This window comes from Homo sapiens, chromosome 19, assembly GCF_000001405.40.
Source record: "Homo sapiens chromosome 19, GRCh38.p14 Primary Assembly".
Classification (NCBI taxonomy): domain Eukaryota; kingdom Metazoa; phylum Chordata; class Mammalia; order Primates; family Hominidae; genus Homo; species Homo sapiens.
The window spans coordinates 2,726,883-2,751,698 of record NC_000019.10 but is presented as its reverse complement, the minus strand read 5'-3'; the positions used below and the strand labels follow the sequence as shown (position 1 = coordinate 2,751,698).

At 54.3% G+C, this 24,816-nt stretch overlaps 1 protein-coding gene across 2 annotated transcripts, besides 9 other annotated features; it reads left to right on the top strand.

The window, feature by feature from the left end:
- Nucleotides 2,214-2,263: a silencer, noted in NCBI's record as "silent region_9807". NCBI's record gives its function as "represses an Ori minimal core promoter by ATAC-STARR-seq in GM12878 lymphoblastoid cells {active_cell/tissue: GM12878}" and the evidence as "EXISTENCE:reporter gene assay evidence [ECO:0000049][PMID:35858748]".
- Nucleotides 2,274-2,343: a silencer, noted in NCBI's record as "silent region_9806". NCBI's record gives its function as "represses an Ori minimal core promoter by ATAC-STARR-seq in GM12878 lymphoblastoid cells {active_cell/tissue: GM12878}" and the evidence as "EXISTENCE:reporter gene assay evidence [ECO:0000049][PMID:35858748]".
- Nucleotides 11,401-11,450: an enhancer, noted in NCBI's record as "active region_13717". NCBI's record gives its function as "activates an Ori minimal core promoter by ATAC-STARR-seq in GM12878 lymphoblastoid cells {active_cell/tissue: GM12878}" and the evidence as "EXISTENCE:reporter gene assay evidence [ECO:0000049][PMID:35858748]".
- Nucleotides 11,511-11,910: a silencer, noted in NCBI's record as "silent region_9805". NCBI's record gives its function as "represses an Ori minimal core promoter by ATAC-STARR-seq in GM12878 lymphoblastoid cells {active_cell/tissue: GM12878}" and the evidence as "EXISTENCE:reporter gene assay evidence [ECO:0000049][PMID:35858748]".
- Nucleotides 11,623-19,175, top strand: SLC39A3 (solute carrier family 39 member 3). Of its 2 annotated transcripts, NM_144564.5 has the most exons (3): nt 11,682-11,754; nt 14,320-14,651; nt 18,214-19,175. In NM_144564.5, the coding sequence occupies exons 2-3, from the start codon at nt 14,442-14,444 to the stop codon at nt 18,946-18,948; spliced, it is 945 nt and encodes a 314-aa protein (NP_653165.2). In that variant the 5' UTR covers nt 11,682-11,754; nt 14,320-14,441; the 3' UTR covers nt 18,949-19,175. The 2 variants fall into 2 exon arrangements, with proteins under 2 accessions (NP_998733.1, NP_653165.2); NM_213568.2 differs by lacking the exon at nt 18,214-19,175 and having other exon boundaries at nt 11,623-11,754; nt 14,320-17,173.
- Nucleotides 12,151-12,200: an enhancer, noted in NCBI's record as "active region_13716". NCBI's record gives its function as "activates an Ori minimal core promoter by ATAC-STARR-seq in GM12878 lymphoblastoid cells {active_cell/tissue: GM12878}" and the evidence as "EXISTENCE:reporter gene assay evidence [ECO:0000049][PMID:35858748]".
- Nucleotides 12,319-12,586: a silencer, noted in NCBI's record as "fragment chr19:2739111-2739378 (GRCh37/hg19 assembly coordinates)". NCBI's record gives its function as "represses an EF-1alpha promoter that drives an FKBP-Casp9 reporter gene in an ReSE screen in HepG2 liver carcinoma cells {active_cell/tissue: HepG2}" and the evidence as "EXISTENCE:reporter gene assay evidence [ECO:0000049][PMID:32094911]".
- Nucleotides 15,828-16,328: an enhancer, noted in NCBI's record as "H3K4me1 hESC enhancer chr19:2735369-2735869 (GRCh37/hg19 assembly coordinates)". NCBI's record gives its function as "activates a minimal SCP1, AML or CMV promoter by ChIP-STARR-seq in naive H9 embryonic stem cells {active_cell/tissue: H9 hESC(naive)}" and the evidence as "EXISTENCE:reporter gene assay evidence [ECO:0000049][PMID:30033119]".
- Nucleotides 16,329-16,829: an enhancer, noted in NCBI's record as "H3K4me1 hESC enhancer chr19:2734868-2735368 (GRCh37/hg19 assembly coordinates)". NCBI's record gives its function as "activates a minimal SCP1, AML or CMV promoter by ChIP-STARR-seq in primed H9 embryonic stem cells {active_cell/tissue: H9 hESC(primed)}" and the evidence as "EXISTENCE:reporter gene assay evidence [ECO:0000049][PMID:30033119]".
- Nucleotides 24,450-24,509: an enhancer, noted in NCBI's record as "active region_13715". NCBI's record gives its function as "activates an Ori minimal core promoter by ATAC-STARR-seq in GM12878 lymphoblastoid cells {active_cell/tissue: GM12878}" and the evidence as "EXISTENCE:reporter gene assay evidence [ECO:0000049][PMID:35858748]".

Here is a 24,816-nt window from a genome sequence, read left to right as displayed (position 1 = left end):
TCCCAGAGTGCTGGGATGACAGGCGTGAGCCACCGCGCCGGGCCGGATCTGCACTGTAGACAAGCAGCCCAGGTGATCGCGATGCCTCTGTTTGGAGAATCCCACTCCCGGAAACACCTGTGGACACTGTTGCAGGAGCCGTGTATCCCAGCCGCAGCCGGCACGCTCTTCAGTCTTCGTAGACGACCTCGGCTCATTTCCTCCCATCTCGTGTCCATCACCAGGAAAGCCTGCACAGTCTCTTCCCAGTTGACCCCAAACCCAGCCCAAGCCTTTGAGAGACCTCCAGAAAGTTTGTTTTGGAATCACCAAGGGGTGGAGAAGAGGAGGGGTGGCGAGGGGGAGCTGTCATCTCATCCCAGAACCAGTGGCTTCTCTGCGCGACTTGATGAGAAGCGTGTCATAGATAATGGCTGCTTGATCCCACACAAGTTTGAAATAGGGTAGTTCTGAATATTCCTGTCAGAGATGCGCAGAGCAAAGAAGCGGTAATTAAACTTGGGTTTCATGTAAGTCGTGACTCAGGGCTCCAGGAGTAGGTTGAACCTCCAGGTGTAATCGTGGAATTAGGAAGGCTCTGCCCTCTGCTTCTCTGTACGCTTGGGGTGCAGTTCCTACAAAGCCTGACCCAGCAGGGACTATGTTGCAAACCCCTCCAGGGTAAGTCCCAGGAAGCCACGAGGAGGAAACAAATAGTGTTTTTCTCTTTTGCAGAATTGGTGCTTCTCAACGGGCGCAGTTGTCCTCCCCGGGACACAGGGCGATGTCTGCGGACATCTGTGGTTGTCACAACTGGGGGGTGCGCCTGGCATTGAGTGGGTGGAGGCCAGAGACGCTGCTCAGCACCCTGCAGTGCCCAAGATGGCCCCACCCCACAGAATAATTCAGCCCCAAATGTCCACAGTACAGAGGAGGAGAAGCCCAGACACATGGTACTCTCTAGATAAATGTGTCAAATCCATGTCCCAAACCGTTTTGCCATTAGGAAAAATAATTTGTCACTGACTCTGGAATGTCCCGGTATCTTTGAAGGAAAACATTTCACCCCAAACTGAGTAACTTGAAAACCTAAAACAAAGTGACCTTCCCCATCCTGTTCTCCATCTTGCAAAAATATCTTAGGTCAAATTATTCTTTTTAGAGACAGGGTCTGGCTCTGTTGCCCAGGCTGGAGTGTAGCACCGTGAGCATAGCTCACTGTAGCCTCAACCTCCTGGGCTCAAGCGATCCTCCCACCTCAGCCTTTCAAGTAGCTGGGACTACAAGCATGGACACCACGCCCAGCTAATTTTAGTTATTATTTTTAAATTTTATTTATTTTTTGAGACAGAGTCACGCTCTGTCACCCAGGCTGGAGTGCAGTGGGGCGATCTCAGCTCACTGCAGGCTCAACCTCCTGGATTCAAGCAATTCTCCTGCCTCAGCCTCCACAGTAGCTGGGATTACAGGCATGTACCACCATGCCCGGCTAATTTTTTTGTATTTTTAGTAGAGATGGGGTTTTGCCACGTTGGCCAGGTTGGTCTCGAACTCCTCACCTCTAGTGATCCACCCACCTCGGCCTCCCAAATTTCTGGGATTACAGGGGTGAGCTGCCGCGCCGGCCTGTTTTTAAATTTTAGATTCAGGGGTACATGGGTCCTCCCTTCCTTCCTCCTGCTTTACTATGGTATCAAGATGAACCTGGTCAACATGGTGAAACCCCATCTCTACTAAAAATACAAAAATTAGCTGGGTGTGGTGGCAGGTGCCTGTAATCACAGTTCCTCGGGAGGCTGAGGAAGGAGAATCGCTTGAACTGGAAGGCGGAGGTTGCAGTGAGCCGAGATCACACCATTGCACTCCAGCCTGGGCGACAGAGTGAGACTGTCTCAAATAAAATAATAAAATTAAAAATAATAAAATAAATAATAAAAAGGCCGGGCGCAGTGGCTCACGCCTGTCATCCCAGCACTTTGGAAGGCCGAGGCGGGAGGATCACCTCAGGCCAGGAGTTCGAGGCCAGCTTCACCAACATGGAGAAACCCCATCTCTAAAAATACGAAATTAGCCAGGTGTGGTGGTGCACACCTGTAATCCCAGCTACTCAGGAGGCTGAGACAGGAGAATCGCTTGAACTCGGGAGTTAGAGGTTGCAGTGAGCCGAGATTGTGCCACTGCACTCCAGCCTGGGCGACAGAGTGAGACTCCGTCTCTAAATAAATAACTAAATAATAAAAAATTAACATTGGATTGGAGTCCAAGCATCCGGGATGTGGTCTCGGAAATGGGGAGCCGGGGCGATTCCGCACGGAGCCGCCAGGGGGCGCGGCAGCCACGGCCTCTCCCGCGGGCACCCACGTGCGTCCGCAGCTGCCAGGGCTGTGATCGACAAGGCGTGGCTCCTTCTGCAGCCACCTGGGCCAGAGCCTAGGGACCGCCCTGCTGCTAGAGTTTTGCTCTTAGAATCGGGTCTCCTTTCAGAATGACACGGAGAAAACATCCTCCGAAGCAGGGATGTCCTACCGGGTGCTCGTGCTTTGATGGAGCCAAGAGGATGCACGCAGTGGACCAGGGAGCCAGGCTGGCCCTGAGATACCTGTGGGATGCAGGGTCAAAGACATGAGGCCCGGCAGCGTGGGCGCGCGAGGACCCGCGAAGCCCACCAGAAACCAGAAATTCTCATCAGCTCACGGTGGTCCCGAATTCTTGCCAAGCCCAGGTAGACTTGGGGAGCCCCGTTCCTCTGTCTCCCTCTCTTTCGTTAATGGTGCTTTTTCAACCTTTATACATTTTTATTTACTTATTTATTATTTTTTAATTTTAATTTTTGTTTTTTTGAGACAGAATCTTGCTCTGTCGCCCAGGCTAGAGCACAGTGCCACGATCTTGGCTCACTGCAACCTCTGCCTCCTGAGTTCAAGTGATTCTCATGTCTCAGCCTCCAGAGTAGGTGGGACTACAGTCACACACCACCATGTCTGGCTATTTTTTTTTTTTTTTGTATTTATAGTAGAGACGGGGTTTCTCCATGTTGGCCAGGATGGTCTCAAACTCCTGGCCTCAGGTGATCCACCTGTCTCGGCCTCCTAAAGTGCTGGGAATACAGGCGTGAGCCACTGTGCTTAGCCAGTTTTTATTTATTTTTGAGACAAGGTCTCTCTTTCTGTGTGTCTTCTTTCCAGGCTGGAGAGCAGTGGTGCAGTCACAGCTCATCGCAGCCTCGACCTCCTGGGCTCAAGCAATCCTCCCTCAGCCTCCTGAGTAGCCAGGACTAGAGGCATGTGCCATCATGCCTGGATACTTTTTTTTTCTAGAGATAGGGTCTTGCTGTGTTGCCCAGGCTGGTCTCAAACTCTTGATCTTAAGCGATGCTCCCGCCTTGGCCTCCCAAAGTTGGGATTACAGGTGTGAGCCACTGTGCCAGGCTTCTCCTTCTTCTCCTTCTCCTTCTTCTTTTTTTCTTTAAGAGATAGGTTCCCCAGGCTGGAGTGCAGTGGCGCCATCATAGCTCACAGCAGCCTTGGACTCCTGGGCTCAAGTGATCCTCTTACTTCAGCCTCCTGAGTAGCTGGGACTACAGGCATTTTAAAGACTTAATGCAAGTGTAACATACCTACACCAAAGTGTGAATGATAAGCAAACATCATGGGTGGGGTGCTGTGGCTCACACCTATAATCCCAGCAGTTTGGGAGGCCGAGGCAGGTGGATCACCTGAGGTCAGGAGTTCGAGACCAGCCTGGCTAACATGGCGAAACCCCATTTCTACTAAAAAATACCAAAATTAGCCGGGCGTGGTGGTGGGTACCTGTAATCTCAGCTACTCGGGAGGCTGAGGCAGGAGAATTGCTTGAACCCAGGAGGCGGAGGTTGCAGTGAGCCGAGATCATGCCACTGCACTCCAGCCTGGGTGACAAGAGCGAGACTCTGTCTCAAAAGAAGCAAACATCATGATGAATTTTCATGAGGGGAACACGCCCATATCATTGGCACCTACACCAAGAAACCAAACCTAAGCAGTGCCCCCACATTCCCGCTACTCACTGCCTCCCAGTCCCCCCACACTCCCGCTACTCACTGCCTCCCCAGAGGGTGACACTGACCTAGCGTTTGATACCATGGGTGGGTGCTGCCTGTTTTTGAGAGTTATACAAATACAATCTGCAAAAGGTAAAGCCACAAGGGTTTCAGAAGAAAATATAGAGTCTATTTTGGGGTAGGCAAAATTTTCTTAGAAAGCAAAAAGCGCTAACCATAAAGTTTTTTTTTGTTTTTGTTTTTGTTTTTGTTTTTGTTTTGAGACAGAGTTTCACTCTTGTTACCCAGGCTGGAATGCAGTGGCGAGATCTCGGCTCACCACAACCTCTGCCTCCCGGGTTCAAGCAATTCTCCTGCCTCAGCCTCCCAAGTAGCTGGGACTACAGGCACCTGCCACCACGCCCGGCTAATTTTGTATTTTTAGTAGAGACGGGGTTTCTCCATGTTGGTCAGGCTGGTCTCGAACTCCCAACCTCAGGTGATCCGCCCACCTCGGCCTCCCAAAGTGCTGGGATTACAGGTGTGAGCCACTGCACCTGGCCAAGTTTTTTTTTTTTTAATCAACAATTAGACTTCATTAAAATAATGATGCCATCAAAATAGAGGGATAAATTGAGCCATTGAGTGGGTGAAGACATTTGCAATATGTACTTTATAAAAATATCAAGTACTCCTACAAATCAGTGAGAAGAGAGATGACCCAATTCTCTTAATGGGCAAAACACTTAGACATTCCAAAAAACAGGATAGGCAAATGGCCCATAAGTATGAGGAAAAGAGCTCAATGTCATTAGACATCAGGAGAACACTAACTAAATCCATAGTAGCCGCCGGGCGCGGTGGCTCACGCCTGTAATCCCAGCACTTTGGGAGGCCGAGGTGGGCGGATCACGAGGTCAGGAGATCGAGACCATCCTGGCTAACACGGTGAAACCTCATCTCTACTAAAATACAAAAAATTAGCCGGGCGTGGTGGCAGGCACCTGTAGTCCCAGCTACTCGAGAGGCTGAGGCAGGGGAATGGAGTGAACCTGGGAGGCGGAGGTTGCAGTGAGCTGAGATCCCACCACTGCACTCCAGCCTGGGCGACAGAGTGAGACTCCATCTCAAAAAACAAACAAACAAACAAACAAAAAAACCATAGTAACAAACAAAAAAACCATAGTAGCAAACAACTACACCAGGATAGCTCAAGTTGAAGGACCTGAAAAACAAGTGTTAGCCAGGTGTGGTGATACGCACCTATAGTCCCAGCTATTTGGGAGGCTGAGGCGGATGGATTGCTTGAATCCAGGAGTTCAAGACCAGCCTGAGCAACATGGGAAGAGTCTGTCTCTACACACACAAAATAATTGGCTGGGCTTGGTGGCTCATGCCTGTAATCTCAGCACTTTCAGAGGCTGAGTCAGGACGATCACTTGAGACCAGGAGTTCAACACCAGCCTAAGCGACACGGTAAAACTCCAGCCTGGCCAACATGGTGAAACCCCATCTCTACTAAAAATACGAAAAGTAGCCAGGCATGGTGGCGGGCGCCTATAATCCCATCTACTTGGGAGACTGAGGCAGGAGAATTGCTTGAACCAGGGAGGTGGAGGTTGCAGTGAGCTGAGATCATGCCATTGAACTCCAGCCTGGGCTACAGAGGGAGACTCCATCTCAAAAAAAAAAAAAAAAAAAAGAAAACAAAAAAAGAATAAGGATCTTTACAGTAGAAAAACCTGACAACTACTATGTCAGCCAGGTGACCCAGTCAGTGTCAACAGTGGTAAGTCATGTTGACTGCATGGGCTTTGCTATGATGTGATGTGATGGGGATGGCCTCTCACTTCTATAGTCTTCCTCAAAAACAAACAACAGAAACACAGCTCTAGTCCAACGATGAGAAAACTATCAGGAAACCCCAGTCAAGAAATATTCCACAAAATATCTGACCCGTCCTCCTCAAAACTGTCCAGATCATGAGAAACAAGGAACATCTGAGAAACTGTGACAGCCAGGAGGAGCCTAAGAAGATGTGATAATGAAATGTCATGTGAGGCCGGATGCGGTGGCTCATGCCTGTCATCCCAGCACTTTGGGAGGCTGAGGCGGGCGGATCACTTGAGGTCAGGAGTTCGAGACCAGCCTGGCCAATATGGAGAAATCCTGTTTCTACTAAAAATACAAAAAATTAGCAGGGCATGGTGGTAGGCACCTGTAGTCCCAGATACTTGGGAGACTGAGGCACGAGAATCACTTGAACCTGGGAAGTGGAGGTTGCAGTGAGCCAAGACTGCACCACTGCACTCCAGCCTGGGCAATAAGAGTGAGACTCCGTCTCCAAAAAAAGCCCCCAAAAACCAAAAACCAAACCAAACCAAAACAAAAAATCCACGTTTATATTTCAATGAATTTCCTTCCTTCCTTCCTTCTTTTCTTTCTTTTTTTCTGGAGATGGAGTTTGCTCTTGTTGCCCAGGCTGGAGTACAATGGCGTGATCTCAGCTCACCACAACCTCCGCCTCCCAGGTTCAGTGATTCTCCTGCCTCAGCCTCCTGAGTAGCTGGGATTACAGGTGCATGCCACCACGCCTGGCTAATTTTTGTATTTTTAGTACAGACGGGGTTTCTCCACGTTGCCCAGGCTGGGCTTGAACCCCTGACCTCAGGTGATCCACCCCCCTCGGCCTCCCTGGGATGATAGGCGTGAGCCACTGCGCCCGGCTTTCAGTGAATTTTCTTATGCTCTTCACCTAGATTCACTTATTCTTCACATTTTACCAAATTTCCTTTTTTCTCTTCTTATGTGTGTGTATATGTATAATAATTATTATTTTTTTGCCGAACAATTCAAATGAAAGTTCCAGACATCATGTATTTTGTATCTCCTAAGAACAAGGACATTCTATTACATAAATACAGTATAATTGTTAAATTCAGGAAATTAAACATTACTGAATATTGACATGATTATTTAATAAACAGTCTACATTCAGATTTTTTCAATTTTTTCTCTGTTTTTTTTGTTTTTGTTTTTGAAGTGGAGTTTTGCTCTTGTTGCCAGACTGGAGTGCAGTGGACCAATCTCAGCTCACTGCAACCTCTGCCCCCTGGGTTCAAGTGATTCTCCCACCTAGCTGGTATTACAGGTACAGCTAATTTTTGTATTTTTAGTAGAGACAGGGTTTTACCACGTTGGTCAGGCTGGTCTCAAACTCCTGACCTCAAGTGATCCGCCTGCCTTGGCCTCCTACAGCACTGAGATTACAGGCGTGAGCCACCTTGCCCAGCCGTTTTTGTTGTTGTTTTGATGTTGTTGTTTGTTTGTTTTGGGTTTTTGAGACAGGGACTTGCTCTGTTGCCCAGGCTGGAGGTCAGTGGCATGATCATAGCTCACTGTGGCCTTGATCTCCTGGGCTCAAGCAATCCTCCCTCCTCCCAGTAGCTGGGGTGACAGGCATGTGTCACCACACCTGGGTGATTAATTTATTTTTTATTTTTTATTTTTTTCTTTTGAAGAGACAGGGTTTCACTATGTTGCTCAGGCTGGTCTTGAACTCCAGGGCTCAAGTTATCCTCTTGCCTCAGCCTCCCAAAGTACTGGGATTATAGGTGTGAGCCACCGTGCCTGGCCCCTTGTTTTATTTTGTATTTTCATGATTATCTTCATGGATTGAGACTCTTTTCTTATATTTATTCACCTCTTATATTGGTTCCCCTGTGAATTGCTCATTCATCACCCTTCCTATTTTTATTTTAAGATGTTTATTTTCTATTTTCTATCAAGGGCTCTGTCTCATATAGTATCAACATTTTTCTCCCAGTCTGTCACTTGTCTATTAAGCCCATTCATGGTGTTTTTTACTATGGAAGATTTTTGAAATACTGAAGTCAGTCAATTTGTCAGTATTTTTTTTTTATAGAGATAGGGTCTCATCATCTTGCCCAGGCTTGTCTCCAACTCCTGGGCTCAAGAGATCCTCCTACCTCAGCCTCCCAAAGTGCTGGGATTATAGGTATGCACCACTGTGCTGCTTTTATGTTATTTTATATTTTATTAGTATTTTTTTTCTGTTGCGCTCTGAAGACATCTGCTCCTACATGGCTTCTGGTGCACAGGAGGTTTTCAAAAACACGTACTGAATGAATCAAAGCCCAAAGCTTACGTAGCTCTTTCCCTGAGCAGGCTGATTCTCCAAACAATTATGAATAAATATCGCATGCTATGAATTCCCCTTAGGAAGGAGTCGTCCTGTGGCGTCTACCTGGTGTGCTTATGTTACAAGCCATCTTTTTCTTGTCGTGAGTTATGGAAAGCAGAAACAGAGTCAGATCACTCTGCATCTAATAATAAAAATAGCTACCAGAAACAGTGTGTTCCACATGATGACATCAGCGCCACGCAGGCAGAAAATGGCATTAAATGCTAAGAACTTGTAGATGTCTCATTTATAGCCTCTGTGAAACTGAACTCTGTCTTTTGACGCTTTCAATCTCTGTGCCTCCTCCAGTCTTTCCTATTTTAGTGAGCACCAGAATCCATCGGATGGCTCAAAGCAGAAAACCAGAAGTCACCCCCAACACCTCCTTCTCCTGCAACCCACACAGACAAACCAGTGCTAAGTCCTGTCAATTCACCCTCCAAAATATTTCTCAAATTCACCCACTGTCCTTTCTCCTGTCAATGCCCTCAGCTAAACTACCGTCAAGTCTTTTCTTAGAAATAGAGATAGGGTCTCACTATGTTGCCCAGGCTGGTCTCGAACTCCTGGGCTCAAGCGATCTTCCTGCAATGGCTTCCCAATGTGCTAGGATTACAGGTGTGCGCCAAGGCACCCAGCCCAACTCTTGCCCAGAGGGCTCTGAAGTAGTCTCCCTGCTTCCATTCTTGCTTCTCTATAATTCAGCCTTTCTTTACACACGAGTCAAAATAATCTTAAGAATTAAAATTAGATGACAACCTTCACCTACTTAAAATCCTTCAATGAATCACACTGTAATTACGGTAAAATCCAAGTTCCATAGCACGGTCTATGGGACTGTCCCTAATCTCCCATCTCCCTACTGCTCACGAACATTCAGCCAGGCTGGCTTTCCAACTCCTCAAATGCAGCAAGCCCTTCTCCATCTTTTTGTCAACTATCCTCTCTTCTCTCCCCACTTCTCAGTACTTTTTTTTCTTTTTTTTTTTTTTTTTTGAGACGGAGTCTTGCTCTGTCGCCCAGGCTGGAGTGCAGTGGCATGATCTCGGTTCACTGCGACCTCCACCTCACAGGTTCAAGCGATTCTCCTACCTCAGCCTCCCGAGTAGCTGGGATTACAGGCGCCCACCACCACGCCCTGCTAATTTTTATATTTTTGGTACAGACAGGGTTTCACCATGTTGGCCAGGCTGGTCTTGAACTCCTGACCTCAAGTGATCCACCCACCTCAGCCTCCCAAAGTGCTGGGATTATAGGTGTGAGCCACCACACCTGGCCTTCTCAGTACATTTGACTTGGCTAATTCCTGCACAGAAGTCTCTCTCATTCTTTCTTCACAGAACTTAGTACAACCTATAGTTTTTCTAGTATGTATGTGTATTAGTTACCTACTGCCATATGACAAATTTTCCCCCAAACTTAGTGCCAGCAGGCATTGTGGCTCATGCCTGTAATCTCAGCACTTTGGGAGGCTGAGGTGGGAGGGTTTCCTGAATCCAGGAGTTCAAGACTGGCCTGTGTGACATTAGGTAAAAAATTAGCTGGGCATGGTGGCACATGCTCCCAGCTACTCGGGAGGCTGAGGTGGGAGGACTGCTTGAGCCCAGGAGGTCATGGCTGCAGTGAGCTGTGATTGCACCACTGCACTCCAGCCTGGGTGATGGGGCAGGACCCTGTCTCAAAATACAAGCAAACAAACACAAAACTAAGTGGCTAGAACAGCATGTGTTATCTCAGTTTCTGTGGGTGAGGAATTCAGATGCAGTTCATATGGGTCTTCTGTTTTCAGGGTCTTTGTTTTTCTTTCTTTCTTCTTCTTCTTCTTCTTTTTTTTTCTTTTGAGACAGGGTCTCACTCTGTTGCCCAGGCTGGAGTGTAATGGTAATGATTTCAGCTCGCTGTCACCTCTGCCTCCTGGGTCCAAGTGATTCTGATGCCTCAGCCTCCTTAGTAGCTGGGACTACAGGTGCCCGCCACCATGCCTGGCTAATTTTGGTATTTTTAGTAGAGATGGGGTTTTGCCGTGTTGGCCAGGCTAGTCTCAAACTCCTGACTTTAAGTGACCTGCCTACCTCGGCCTTCCAAAGTGCTGGGATTATAGGCATGAGCTACCACATGCAGCCCTGTTTTAGGGTGTTTCAAAGGCTGCAATTGAAGTGAAGCAGTCATCCAAAGGCTCAACTGGGGCAGGACCCTCTTCCATGATCACGTTCATGGCTGTTGGTAGCATTTGGTTCCTTATGGACGCTTGTGCTGAGGGTCTCATTGCCTTGCTGACTGTTGGCTGGAGGACACCCTCAGTTCCTTTCCCTCTGGATCTCTCCAGCATCTTAGCTTGCTTTGTCAAGACACGTAGGCTGAGAAGGCGAGAGACAGGCTCTGCTGGCAAAACAGAAGTCACAATCTCTCATAGCCTAATCGCAGAATGACATCCCATTCATTTGCCATTTTCTATTTGTTAGAATCAAGTCATCAGGCCAAGCGCAGTGGCTCATGCCTGTAATCCCAGCACTTTGGGAGGCCAAGGTAAGAGGATCACCTGAGGTCAGGAGTTCAAGACCAGCCTGGCCAACATGGTGAAACCCCGTCTCTACTAAAAACACAAAAATTAGCCGGCATAGTGGCACACGCCTATAATCCCAGCTACTCGGGAGGCTGAGGCAGGAGAATCGCTTGAACACGGGAGTCGGAAGTTGCAGTGAGCCAAGATCGCGCCATTGCACTCCAGCCTGAGTGACAAGAGCGAGACTCTGTCTCAAAAAAAACCTTTTTTTTTTTTTTAGAGATGGGGTCTCACTATGCTGCCCAGGCTGGCCTTGAACTCCTGGACTCAAGCGATCCTCCCGCCTCGGTCTCTTAAAGTGCTGAGATTACAAGTGTGAGCCACTGCGCCCTGCCAAGATTTGGTTTTTAACTTACGCGTTACCTCCTATACTTATTTTTTCATGGTTTGAACATGTAACATCTACTTTCTTAGCAATTTTGCAGTATGCAATGCATTGTTACGAGCTGTAGCCACCATGATGTACAGTCGATCTCTTGGACTTACTCCTCCTGCCTATCAACAGAGATTTGTTGAAGGGATGAATCTGCTTCTTCAGCCGTCGGTAAGGGGATCAGCAGCGAGGACGCTGAGAGAGGAGCCGCCTCCGTTGGAAATCCCTTCCCATCCACCTCCAAGCCTCTTTCCAAGCGGGATTCAGCACCAGGCGCCCCTGGACAGCTCTGGAAACCCAACCCTGCCGGAACCGTTCCTCGCCAATCCGGGTTTCCCGCCGGGGCCGCTTGGTGGCTGCGCCCGCCGCTCAGCGGGAGGAAACCCCTTTCCTGTGCCGGTAGGAGAGGTGGAGTCGCATATGAGTGGCAGGTTTCGCAGCCAATAGTATGGAAAGTTCTGCCAGCGGGTCTCGGGGAGGCCAATGGGCAGGGGCGTGGGCGGGGCGTGGACCAGCCGCGCCGAGCGGGGCCTCTCCGGGCCGCGTCTGTGGGGTCGAGACTGCGCGGCCGTTGGGCGTGCAGCGGCGCCAGTCGGCGGACGAGGGGCCCCCGGGAGGTAGGTGCGGGCAGAGAGAGGACCTGGGGCGGCGGGGCGGGGCGGCGCTGAGCGGCCGGGGGTCTGTTGGACTCTACCCGCACGTTAGCCGAGGCCCGTCTCCGGTGCCCGGTAGCGCGAGGCACACAGAAGGCGCTCAATAAGTGCTGATTGAATGAATGAGCCCGTGCCCTCCTCATCCCGGCCCGAGCAGCCTCCGGTTTGAGAGCGTGCAGGCCACCCTCACCTTCACTGTACAGACTGAGGTATCCAGATGCCGGACAGGTCTTTATTGGGCGCCTACTGTGTGCCTGGGTGGCTCTGCGCTGGGTGCAGCTGGCCCTGAGCAAGACAGACAGCCTGGTCCCGCCCAGCTCACCGCCGGGGGGGAGGGACGACTTTAAATGACTTAAAATAATGTAATTCCTAGCTCCCTCTGTAGCACAAAATAAAAGAAAATAACACCAGGGAAGGGGGCGGGGAGAGCTCTGAGTGGAGACATCTGAGCAGTGACCCGAAGACCTGAATGCAGTGAGGTAGCGGGGCCATGAGGCGCTTGGGGCTGATGGTGGGGGAGAAAACCCAGTTGGGGAAAACTCAAGGACAGGGGAGGAGCTGAGATTCCTCCTAAGAACGGTGACATTTTGGGGTCCAGGGTGAAACCGACTTCACTTTGGCCCATTGCATCAGGTAAAATGCGGCCCTTATCAGTGGCCACACGCTTCCCCTCGTCCATGTGTTCAGCCAGCGGTTTTTGAGTATCTGTTCTGCAGCAGGCCTTCCGGCGGGTACAGGGATATGGTTTAGGGCAGGAGTCAGCCAGGGGCAGAGAGGGAGGCCCTTTTTTTTTTTTTTTTTTTTTTTTTGAGACGGAGTCTTGCTCTGCAGCCCAGGCTGGAGTACAATGGCGCGATCTCGGCTCACTGCAAGCTCCACCTCCTGGGTTGAAGCAATTCTCCTGCCTCAGCCTCCCGAGTAACTGGGATTACAGGCACGTACCACCATGCCCAGCTAATTTTTTTTTTTTTTGAGACAGAGTCTTACTCTGTCACCCAGGCTGGAGTGCAATGGCTTGATCTTGGCTCACTGCAACCTCCACCTCCTGGGTTCAAGTGATTCTCCTGCCTCAGCCTCCCAAGTAGCTGGGATTACAGGTGCCCACTACCACACCCAGCTAATTTTTGTATTTTTAGTAGAGACAGTGTTTCACTGTGTTGGCCAGGCTGGTCTTGAACTCTCGACCTCAGGTGCTGGTCTCGAACTCTCGACCTCAGGTGATCTGCCCACCTCAGCCTCCCAAAGTGCTGAGATTACAGGTGTGAGCCACCACTCCCAACCGAGGGAGGCCCTTTTGAGGGGTCCTGGATGCAGAGAAGCAAGAAAGAAGAAGGAGGCCTCGCTGGAAGGTCAGGGGAAAGAGAGCAGTGTTCCAGGTGGAGAGAGGAGAACCCATGCAGAGGTCCTGAGGCACGAGCAAGCTTGGCACAGAAAGGACCAGTGAGGGCCGAGGCGAGGCAGGAGCTTGTCATGCAGAGCTTCAGCCTCAGGGTACAGAGTTTAGACTTTATTTCGGGGCATGGGGAAGCCATGGACCACCACCATCCAATAGCATGTTCTGCAGTGATGAGAGTGTTCCCTTTGCTGTCAAATACGGTAACCACAGAAGTCAAGTAGGCTTGTGTGACTACTGAGCGCTTGAAATATGGCCAGGGAGACTGAGGAGCGGAATTTTGTATTTTATTTAGTTTTTTTTTTTTTTTTTTTTTGAGATGGAGTTTTGCTCTTGTTGCCCAGCCTGGAGTGCGGTGGTGCCATCTTGGCTCACTGCAACCTCTGCCTCCTGGGTTCAAGCGATTCTCTTGCCTCAGCCTCCAGAGTAGCTGGGATTACAGGTGCCTGCCACCACGGCCGGCTAATTTTTGTATTTTTGGTAGAGACGGCGTTTCACCATGTTGTCCAGGCTGGTCTCGAATTCCTGACCTCAGGTGATCCACCCACCTCGGCCTCCCAAAGTTCTGGGATTGCAGGTGTGAGCCACTACACCCAGCCTGGATTTTTTTTAATTTTGATGAACTTTTTTCTTTTTTTGAGACAGTGTATTAGTCAGGGTTCTCTAGAGGGACAGAACTAATGGAATAGTTATATATATAAAGGGAAGTTTATTAAGTATTAATTGCACACGATTACAGGGTCTCACAATACATTGTCTGCAGATTGAGGAGCAAAGAGAGCCAGTCCGAGTTCCAAAACTGAAGAACTGGCCAGGTGCAGTGGCTCACGCCTATAATCCTAGCACTTTGGGAGGCCGAGGCAGGCGGATCACGAGGTCAGGAGTTCGAGACCAGCCTGGCCAACATGATGAAACCTCGTCTCTACTACAAATACAAAAAAAATTAGCTGGGAGTGGTGGCGCGTGTCTGTAATCCCAGCTACTAGGCAGGAGAATTGCTTGAATCCAGGAAGCGGAGGTTGCAGTGAGCGGAGATTGCACCATTGCACTCCAGCCTGGCAACAGAGCGAGACTCTGTCTAAAAAAAAAAAAAGAAAAAAGAAAGAAAGCTAATGCAGTGCCCCTGATGTTCACAGTTGCTGGACTGAGACATGAGCCTCCAACTGTGTGGTTGGGCTCGGTAGCACATCGTGGGACTTGGGTGTGCGCCCACAGATGGTTTGGCCCTGCAGTGACCAGAGCAGCCCAAGCCGCCACCATGGTGAAATTGCTAGTGGCCAAAATCCTGTGCATGGTGGGCGTGTTCTTCTTCATGCTGCTCGGCTCCCTGCTCCCCGTGAAGATCATCGAGACAGATTTTGAGAAGGCCCATCGCTCGAAAAAGATCCTCTCTCTCTGCAACACCTTTGGAGGAGGGGTGTTTCTGGCCACGTGCTTCAACGCTCTGCTGCCCGCTGTGAGGGAAAAGGTAAGGGCTCCCTGGGCACTAGCAGCAGCCCTTGGCACCTTATGGCCAAGGGACTCTGATGCATTTTCAACACTGATGCCAAGTTCAGTGAAGGCCTTGATGCTGTAAGGGTGACGGAAAGTAGGAAGTGAATTTGCTGTGTGATTGTGAACTGGTTACTTTCTGTCTCTGTGCTCTACCGGCCAAACAAGGGGTTTGGACCAGACCTGGGATTCCCAACAGGTGGACTTGTCGGTTGTCACCTGATAATCAGACCAGACTACCCACCTAGGTAGGGCACACTCTGTCCTGAAGCTGGAAAGCATGGCCTCTCTTCGGTTCCTATATCAGTCAGCTACTGTTGCGTAACAAATTATAGCAAACTGAGCACCTTAGGACTACAGACGTTTATCATCTCACAGTTTCTGTGAGTCAGGGGTCTGGGCACTGCTTCAGGAGCTCACAAGGCAGCAGTCACAGTGTCTCCTGGGCTGTGGTCTCATCTCAACGTTCAACCGGGGATGGGTCGGCCTCTAAGCTCATGTGGTTGTAAGCCAGGTTCAGTTCCTCATTGGTTGTCAGACCGAAGGTGTCTGTTTGTCAGTGTCTGTTGGCTGGGGCAGCCCTCAGAGCCTGGCCACGTGGACCTCCCCAGCATGATCAGTTCCTTCATCAGCAAATGGAGAAGATGGCCATGACTCTGTGTAAGACAGAGGGCACAGTCCCATGTCATGCAGAGGTGACAGGGTATCCCTTCCCCTCTGCCCCAGTGTCCTGCTGGTTAGAAGCAAGTTCAAGTCCTTCCCATACTCAAGTGGCCAGGACCTCACAGGGTATGGCTGTCAAGAGGCAGGGGCTTCTGGGGCCATCTTGGAGTCTGTCCACCCCAACTCCTGACAGCATCATCCTCTGCTGACCTGTTCCTTGAGCTCCCCCATATCAGCAGCCCAGAGTGTGGGTCCCCTGTCAGGCCACAGTGTGACCAGCCCTGGCCATGCTTGCTGGGTGACCCTGGGTGAGTGGCTTCCTCTCTCTGGGCCAGTGCCAGATGTGACATTGAATTTGTGTTGGTTACATACTTGGTGGAGATATGAGGACCCCCTGTTCTTCCTCCCAACGAAAGCATGGAAGCCCTAAGCTTATCCCCCAACCCCTGGCCCTGCTTTTCCTCGTGCCTAGTGTCCAGAAAGGAGGAGAAGGGCTGTTGTCTGGGATTAAATCATCTGAGCCTGTTAGTGTGGCAGAGTAGAGTTCCAGGGTGGCTCCCTGAGCTTCCAGCCCCTGCTCCGCACGCCCCATGCTCTTCCCTCCCCTCGAGTGTGGGTAGGGCTGGGACTGCCGTGCGTGTCACTCCTGCCATTATGTCAGAATCCCAGCAGAGGGGATGTTGCAGCTGTGATGACCGCCCCAGATCGGTTAGCGCTGAGTTCATCAAAAGGGAGGGGGTGGGCCTGGCCTAATCAGGTGAGCCACTCACCCTCCTGCTGGCCTTGGAGAAGCAAAAAGCCAGGGTGTGCCAGGAGAAGGGCATGAAGCGAGGACCCGAGGGCAGCCTCTCGGTGCCAAGAGCCATCCCCGCCAACAGCCAGCCAGGACACGGGGCCTCAGTCCACAGCCACCAGGAGGTGGACTCTTCCGACCTCCAGTGAGCTTGGAAGAGGACCCTGGGTGTCAGTGAGATCTCAGCCCTGATGACACCCTGCGAGACCTGGAGCGTAGGGCCCAGCTAGCCCGCACCTGGATTTCCACCGTTCAGAGCCGAGACACCGCATTCCTGCTGTTCCGCGTGGCTGAGTCTGCATTCGTTCGTTACGCGGTGTGTGAAGACTGACATCTGCACTGCGAGGATGGAGATCTTGGTCATCTCTGACATCTCCTGCATCGCAGAGGCCACTGCCAGCCCCCCTTTTCCCCCATGGTCATGGTGTCACCCCCGTCACCCTCTGACTGCAGGCCTGGGCGACTGCGGGGAGCTTGCTCTTCCCTCCCCCTCATCACAGTGGCCTTCTCATGGCACCCAAACCTTTCCCGCCGTTCTCCTGTCCTCGGGCTGGTCAGGCGGATGAGGTCCCTACTCCCGAGCCCCCAGCCTCACCCACTGCAGGGCCAGGCTCTCAGTCACCCCTGGAAAATGGTGCCTGGTTCACAGCTCCCGTGCATCTGCCTCATCTCTCCTGATCAACGTCTGTCTCTTGGGAGTAGCTAGAGTTCCTCATGAGCTTGTCCTCAAGCGAGGCATGCATGAGGCCTCCAGCCGGTGGTCAGTGAGGGAGTTAAGTGGCTTCTCCGTGGAAACACAGCCTTCTGCTGCAGCAGAGGCTCACCCAGCGTGAACTGCCCCCAGGGAACACTGGGCGATGCCTGGGGACATTGTGGTTGTCACGATGGGGGGTGCTCCTGGCCTGGAGTGGGTGGAGGCCAGAGACACTGCTCAGCAGCACCCTGCAGTGCCCAGGACGGCCCCGTCCCAGAGAACAATCCAGCCCCGAATGTCAGCACCTTCCCCCTACCCGAGTTGTGAAAATAAAAAATGTTTCCAGACATTGCCAGGTGTCCACACGGGCAGAATCGCCCTGGTTGAGAACCACTGTGTGCGCGTGCTTGTGTGTGCACCTGCGTGTGCGCGTGTGTGTGCGTGCGTGTGTGCACATATGCGTGTGTGTGTGTGTGTGTGCACGTGCGCAGGTTGTAATGAAGTCTCCGCTGGGAAGGAAGCAGGGAAGCAGGCATTGTTGAGTGTCGATTGTGTTGTGATTTTCCTCCACTTTGGTCTCGAGGTCTCTCTGGAGGGTGGCTGTGAACTCTGGCCCTGCCGTGACGAGGCTCCAGGGAGCTGTTGTGGGCGTTTACAGCCTGCCTTTCATGAGACATTTCATCCTGGCGCATAGCCTAATGCCTGCGTGTCCGCCCCGTGAGCAGCTGTCCCTCCCATAGGAGTGTGTACCTCTTGCAGACGCCCTGCGGCTCCCGTCTGACCCACGTCTAGTTTCTCCCCACCAAAGTCTCCCCTCGCTAGGAGAGCCCTGACCAGGAGGAGAGTCGGGCCCAGGCATGTCGGTCAGGGAAGCAGAGAGGAGGCCCCGCGGCAGAACACGCAAGGCCAGTGCAGCTCTTTATGTGTTTATTTTGAGCCGGAGTCTCCCTCTGTCGCCCAGGCTGGAGTGCAGTGGCACGATCTCGTCTCACTGCAACCTCTGCCTCCTGGGTTCAAGCCATTCTCCTGCCTCAGCCTCCTGAGTAGCTGGGATTACAGGTGCTCGCCACCATGCCCAGCTAATTTTTGTATTTTTAGTAGAAACATGTTTCCCCATATTGGCCAGGCTGGTCTCGAACTCCTGGGCTCAAGCAATCCGCCAGCCTCAGTCTCCCAAAATGCTGGGGTCACAGGCATGAGCCACCGCGCTTGGCTGGTGGTGGTGGTGTTAATTCATCACAGGCGAGCCCTTCCTCTCCCACTTGTTTTAACCTCTGTGTGAATCGGGGATTTCTGGACTTTGCTTTGAACGGTGACATCTGGCCAGCCCTGTCGCCGCCACCCCTGAGCGTGGGTCTCTCTCTCTCTCTCGGGTGTCCCCGGCTGCAGCTCCAGAAGGTCCTGAGCCTCGGCCACATCAGCACCGACTACCCGCTGGCCGAAACCATCCTCCTGCTGGGCTTCTTCATGACCGTCTTCCTGGAGCAGCTGATCCTGACCTTCCGCAAGGAGAAGCCGTCCTTCATCGACCTGGAGACCTTCAACGCCGGATCGGACGTGGGCAGCGACTCGGAGTATGAGAGCCCCTTCATGGGGGGCGCGCGGGGCCACGCGCTGTACGTGGAGCCCCACGGCCACGGCCCCAGCCTGAGCGTGCAGGGCCTCTCGCGCGCCAGCCCCGTGCGCCTGCTCAGCCTGGCCTTCGCGCTGTCGGCCCACTCGGTCTTTGAGGGCCTGGCCCTGGGCCTGCAGGAGGAGGGGGAGAAAGTGGTGAGCCTGTTCGTGGGGGTGGCCGTCCACGAGACACTGGTGGCCGTGGCCCTGGGCATCAGCATGGCCCGGAGTGCCATGCCCCTGCGGGACGCGGCCAAGCTGGCGGTCACCGTAAGCGCCATGATCCCCCTGGGCATCGGCCTGGGCCTGGGCATTGAGAGCGCCCAGGGCGTGCCGGGCAGCGTGGCGTCCGTGCTGCTGCAGGGCCTGGCGGGCGGCACCTTCCTCTTCATCACCTTCCTGGAGATCCTGGCCAAGGAGCTGGAGGAGAAGAGTGACCGTCTGCTCAAGGTCCTCTTCCTGGTGCTGGGCTACACCGTCCTGGCCGGGATGGTCTTCCTCAAGTGGTGAGCGGCCTCGCCATTGTCCCTGCCGCCGGAGCCCGCCGGGAGCCCCGGGCCGGACACAGGCCGCGTCCCCCGGCCGCGCGTCCCCCAAGAGCGAGCACTGTGGCCCTGGGCCACCACCTGTGCACAAGGGGCCTCCCGGGACCAGGCTGTGCCCCCGATCCTACACCCTGAGCCTCAGAGCACTGCTACTTTTTAAAATACTTCTTTCTCTTAAAAGTCTTTACCAAAGCTGTGTGGCCATGTCAACCTCGGGCCGTGGGGTGTGGCAACCCACGGGCGGGAGGGCCAGGACCTGGGTCCCGGTGAGATCGGTCAGGACCCTCCTCTCCCTGCCGCACACCCCCAGCCTGTGAATAAGGACGGGAGCATTTGGCTGCTGTGGCCAGAGTGAGGGCCGCGCCGCCTGTGCCTCAGGAGCCAGCTGGGGGCCCTGAGGCCCCAACGTCTACCCTACTCTGTTGCCAGGATCTCGCCGCCCGAGCCCCGAGTGTCTTGAGGCTTATTAGAGGTTGGAGTCACTGCGATGGGACAGCCGGGCTCCGTCCCTCCTGCCACACAAGGCTGTACCCCCTGTGAGTGGGCCATGTACCCTCAGGAGTGCCCTCTCCTTTTCCCTTTGCTGGGTGGCTCCTGGAGCGGGGACCCCTGGGCCAGGACCCCCGGGCCAGGTGAGTGTCACAGTTTCCTGAGACTCACGAGCAGGGCCAGGAGGCAGCTTAAAGATCAGTCCTCAGCTCTGCTTACACACACCGGGGTCTCCAGAGGAAGATGGACCCCACTAGCGGTGGGGCAGGGGCCCCGCGGTGCGATCCCTCCCGTGGACACAGGGACGCTGCTCCCGAGAGGGCAGGAGCACGGGGGACGAGCAGCCGGGCGTGGGCTGGGGCAGCCCTGGGCTCCTGGCTCTGTGGCAACCTCCGGAAGGCCTGAGCCGTCGTCCCGGCAACCCTGCCGGGTCTGGGGAGGTGAGAGCTGGGGAGGGACGCCTTTCCTCGGGGATTTTGCTCTGCCTGGCTCGAAGCCGCTGTGGCGCCGCGGAAGGGAGCCGGGCATGCCCGCCTGGGCTGGGTTTTTCCTTGATCTGACCTGGAGCCCCGGACCCCATCTCTGGGCCTTGGCGTCTTCCAGCCCCATCAGGGCTGTGAGGGCCTCTGGCTGTCCCCACCTCCCACCTCGTCACTCATCTTTGAGTGCCAGGCCCCAGGTACCCTTCTCCCATCCCGTGCCCTGCCTCGCCACCACGCCTCCCTACACCTACCCACAAGGCTGACTGGGGGGGGCTGCACGGAGAGGTGCCCATCTGGCCTGTGGGCTTGGGCCTGGCGGGGCCTCCTATCCATCAGTCCATCAATCTAGTCAGATGGGGAGCTCCAGGGCCAGCCAGTGACTGCTCTGTGGGGTGTCCCGGCCGGTGGCCCTGCTGCAGCCAGCTCAGCTCCCAGGTGCCAGTCACAGGAAGGGACGACCTCGAGAGGGCGGTGGCTGCCTGGAGCATTGCCATGGGGGTCCCAGGAGGCCGGAGTAGTCACACAGCCCCTGTAAGTAACTTCCACTCCAGGGGGTCGGTACGTAACCCGGGGTTCCACCTCTGCTCCTGAGACCCCCCCCCAACTTCCACTCCAGGGGGTTGGTACGTAACCCGGGGTTCAGCCTCTGCTCCTGAGACCCCCCAACTTCCACTCCAGGGGGTCTGTAAGTACCCTGGGGTTCAGCCTCTGCTCCTGAGACCCCCCGCCAACTTCCACTTCAGGGGGTCTGTAAGTAACCTGGGGTTCAGCCTCTGCTCCTGAGACCCCCCCCAACTTCCACTCCAGGAGGTCGGTACGTAACCCAGGGTTCCACCTCTGCTCCTGAGACCCCCCAACTTCCACTCCAGGGGGTCTGTAAGTAACCTGGGGTTCAGCCCCTGCTCCTGAGACCCCCCAACTTCCACTTTAGGGGGTCTATAAGTAACCCGGGGTTCAGCCTCTGCTCCTGAGACCCCCCAACTTCCACTCCAGGAGGTCCTTACCCCACTGCTGTTGGAAGCTTGGGGCCTGTTCTGGGAACCTGTGTCTGAACCTCTTACCGGGGATCCATCTCTGAACCCTGTGCAGCCTGGCCCTGGCCCCAGGGGTATAGGAGCTTCGCAGTGTCCTGAACCTGACGTGGTTCTGCCCGTCCCTCCCCTGGCTTCACCCCACCTGGGCCATTTGTCCTTTATCCCAGGTGGGTGGGTTGTGAAGCCACTGGGTCCCTGCACTGGTGGGGGATGTGGCTTGAGTTTTCGTGACTGCCAGGGGATAGAGACATCCAGGCCCCCCACATGGGAAGGCTCAGAGTCCCTGTCCCCCGAATCCCGCAGGAGCCCACATGGGGCGGAGCACCGGCTGCTCCAGGGATCCCCATCCACCTTCGCCCATCACAGCAGGAAGCACAAAGTGGGGCCCTACCCTCCACCAGCCATCAGCTCCCCAGGGTGGCCCGAGGGACCCAAGCTGTCGACCCCTGCAGGCCCAGCCACCCCACCCCAAGGATCCCAAGCGGCTTCTTCGCCTTCCCTCTAGAGGAGCCTCTGACACCACGTTGTCCCCCACTGGCGCTGGGTGGGAGCTCAGGGCTGGCCCTGCTCCTTTGACTGCAGCAGACCAGAGGCAGCGGCCAGAAAGCAGGACGTAGGCGGGGGCGGGGGCGAGCTGGCTGTGGCCTCCAGACCTCTCCGTCCCAGAGTCCTCAGGAGGCACGAAAGGAGCTTTCCTGGGGCCAGCGGGACCCTAAGGCAGAAGGATGTCTCTTGAGCCACTTTTGGTCGGCTGTCACCACTCTTTTTTCTTTTTTGAGATAGAGCCTCGCTCTGTCGCCCAGGCTGGAGTGCAGTGGCGCGATCTCGGCTTACTGCAATCTCCACCTCCCGGCTTCAAACAATTCTCCTGCCTCAGCCTCCCAAGTAGCTGGGATTACAGGCGCGCACCACCACGGCCAGCTAATTTTTGTATTTTTAGTAGAGACGGGGTTTCACCATGGTGGCCAGGTTGGTCTCGAACTCCTGACCTTGTGATCCGCTGGCCTCGGCCTCCCAAAGTGCTGGGATTACACGTGTGAGCCACTGTGCCCGGCCCACTTTTTTTTTTTTTTTTTTGAGATGGAGTTTCGCTCTGTCTCCCAGGCTGGAGTGCAGTGGCATGATCTCGGCTCACTGCAACCTCTGCTCCCGGATTCAAGTGATTCTCCTGCCTCGGCCTCCTGAGTAGCAGGGACCATAGGTGCCCGGCACCACGCTCGGCTAATTTTGTATTTTTAGTAGAGACGGGGTTTCACCGTGTTGGTCAGGCTGGTCTCAAACTCTTGAGCTCAGGTGATCTACCCACCTCAGCCTCCCACAGTGCTGGGATTACAGGCGTGAGCCACCGCGCCTGGGGGCTTTACCCGCTTTTGAGGAGGAACCCAGCACATGTCCATGTTGGGGTAAAGACGTGGAGTGGTCGTCTCGCCCATCCGATATAGAGTCCAGAGGCGCAGGGCTCATTCCCAAGGTCCCTTGGCCGACGGCGGCCGGGTCCGGCCTAGACCAGGCTCCTGTGAGGCAGCCCAGCGACTCTGTCTCCTCTGGCTCTGCCCACAGACACACTGTCACCCAATGCTAGGAGCCACTGCTTGAGGAAGCCTGGGTTTGTCACTGCCTGCAGCCACAGACTACTCCTGCCTCAAAACGACGTCACGACACTGCAGAGCAGGCCAGCTCCAGCTGCACATGGCCGCCTCCATCTCTACACAACTTTGAGTCACAGAAATGTCACGTGACCTGCAGAAGCCAAGGGTCCTCCTCCTTGGGGGTCTCTTTTACTGACTCTGTGACTCCCAGCCGGGGATCTTCTGCCCCCAGGGGACACCGGGCCATGTCTGGGGACATCTGTGGTTGTCTTGACTAGGGGAGCTCCTGGCATGGAGTGGGTGGAGGCCAGGGATGCTGCTCGGCACCCTGCAGTGCCCAGGACGGCCCCACCCTTGAGAACGGTTCAGTCCCAATGTCCACAGGGCCCAGGGGGAGACACCCAGCCCAACTCACAGAAGACCCAGGACAGGTGATGGTGGTCTATGTCAACCACCTGTTCATGAGAGAGACACAGGGAGGAGAGGGGGCACCTGCCAACCGTTTCATGCGCTGGTAGAGACCGGGAATAGCTTGGACAGATTGTTCCTGGATAACACAAGACAGCTTCCTGTTTAAAAAACAAAACTCCGGCCCGGAGCAGGGGCTCACGCCTATAATCCCAGCACTTTGGGAGGCTGAGGCGGGCAGATTACTTGAGCCCACAAGTTGGAGACCAGCCTGACTAACATGGCGAAACCCCGTCTCTACTAAAAATACAAAAATTAGCTGGGTGTGGACGCAGGTGCCTGTAATCCCAGCAACTTGGGAGGCCGAGGCAGGAGAATCGCTTGAACCCGGGAGGCAGAGGTTGCAGTGAGCCGAGATTGCACTACTGCACTCCAGCCTGGGCGACAGAGCAAGACTTGGTCTCAAAAACACACACAAAAAACCAAAACTCCAAGCGCAGAGCACCCAGTGCCATCTTCGTCCGAATGCAGCACTCCTGGCTGGGTCACGGCCACCCCTAGGCCAGTGCCTGGCCAGGGGCTTCTCTTGTCTATGACCAGGCAGGTCACAGGCGGGAGGGACCCAGGTCAGGCTCAGCTGCTGCCCCACCGGAAACAGACCCAGCAGCCTTGCCTAGACCCCAGGTGGGTCCAGGTTTTTCTATTGGGGCAGAGAGAGTGGGCCAGGATGGGGGCGTCTCTCAGCTCTGCAAGCTGGAGAATTAACTCCGGGACTTGAGCTCGGGGTCCCCGCTGGGCGCAGGCGTGGGCTCCAGCGGGAAGGAAGCCCCTCGTTGGGTTCTCAGCATGGACAGCTGGATGGCATCACTGGATTCCCTCACCTGGATCCGGAGACAAAAGGGGAGAAAATGATGAGGCAGCGCCCAGGCCTGCGGGGTTGAGTCAGCCGTAATAACAGCCTGTTGGCCCTACGTGTCTGTTGTCTGCATTTCTGTTGCACAAGTTATTAGCTCGGGGCGGGACGGGGAGGTCGGTGGTGGATGGGACGGTGTCTCCCAGCCCTTGGCACCATCAGACTGTCCTGGCCAGCAGCTCTGGACCCTCTGCCCCACCGGGAAGAGAGGGGGCTGCCTCCCACCTGTTCCAGCCGCCAGCCTGCACGCAGCTTGTGCCCTGAGCTGTGTCTGCTTTTGGGACAGCCGGTGAGCAGCCTGTCACCAATAAAGACTCCTCGGCCTTCACCTCGATGCTCGGAGGCTGCCCCAGCCTTTCCAGGGTCCCCCTGCAGGTGGGAAGGAGGCGGAGGCTCCTGAAGGTAGAGGAGTCATCTCCCTTTCGAGGGAGCACAGGCTGCTGCAGGACGTGGGGGCTTGTCTGGAAGACCCCAGAACTCTTCTCCTGGCTGTCAGGTGCTGAGGCCAGACGGGGCTGGAGTGGGAAGATGCCCCCACCTCTCTCCCTGCCACCCCTCAGGCCTCTGCGGCTCTGCACCTGCAACCCCTCGGGGCAGTGACACAGCTGGCCTCGGTGTCCTGGCGGAGGGCAGAAGTGATGGCCGGTTGCGGTCTTGTAGGGTGAGAATCGGGTTAGACAAGTGAGTGCTTTAGAGCCGGGGAGCTGCACACGGAGGGGAGGGAGTGGCGGGCGCTGCGTCGGGCTTCTCCAGGAAGAGGTGAGCGGGCTGGCTGGGCTTCCGTCTCAGCTAGTGGAGGTCCAGCCAGACTCAGGCTAGATGAGCTGGCCCCCAGAACAGGCTTCTGTGCCTGGGCTTTGTGGACATCTGGGGCCATCCTGTGCCTTGTGGGAAGCTGAGCTGCAGCCCTGGCTCTGG

What these genes read in the sequence shown, in the direction of transcription:
- SLC39A3 (NM_144564.5), top strand. Translation starts at nt 14,442, where the DNA reads ATGGTGAAATTGCTAGTGGCCAAAATCCTGTGCATGGTGGGCGTGTTC. An exon ending in TGCCCGCTGTGAGGGAAAAG is followed by an intron (nt 14,652 to 18,213) that starts GTAAGGGCTCCC and finishes CCCCGGCTGCAG; the next exon opens with CTCCAGAAGGTCCTGAGCCT.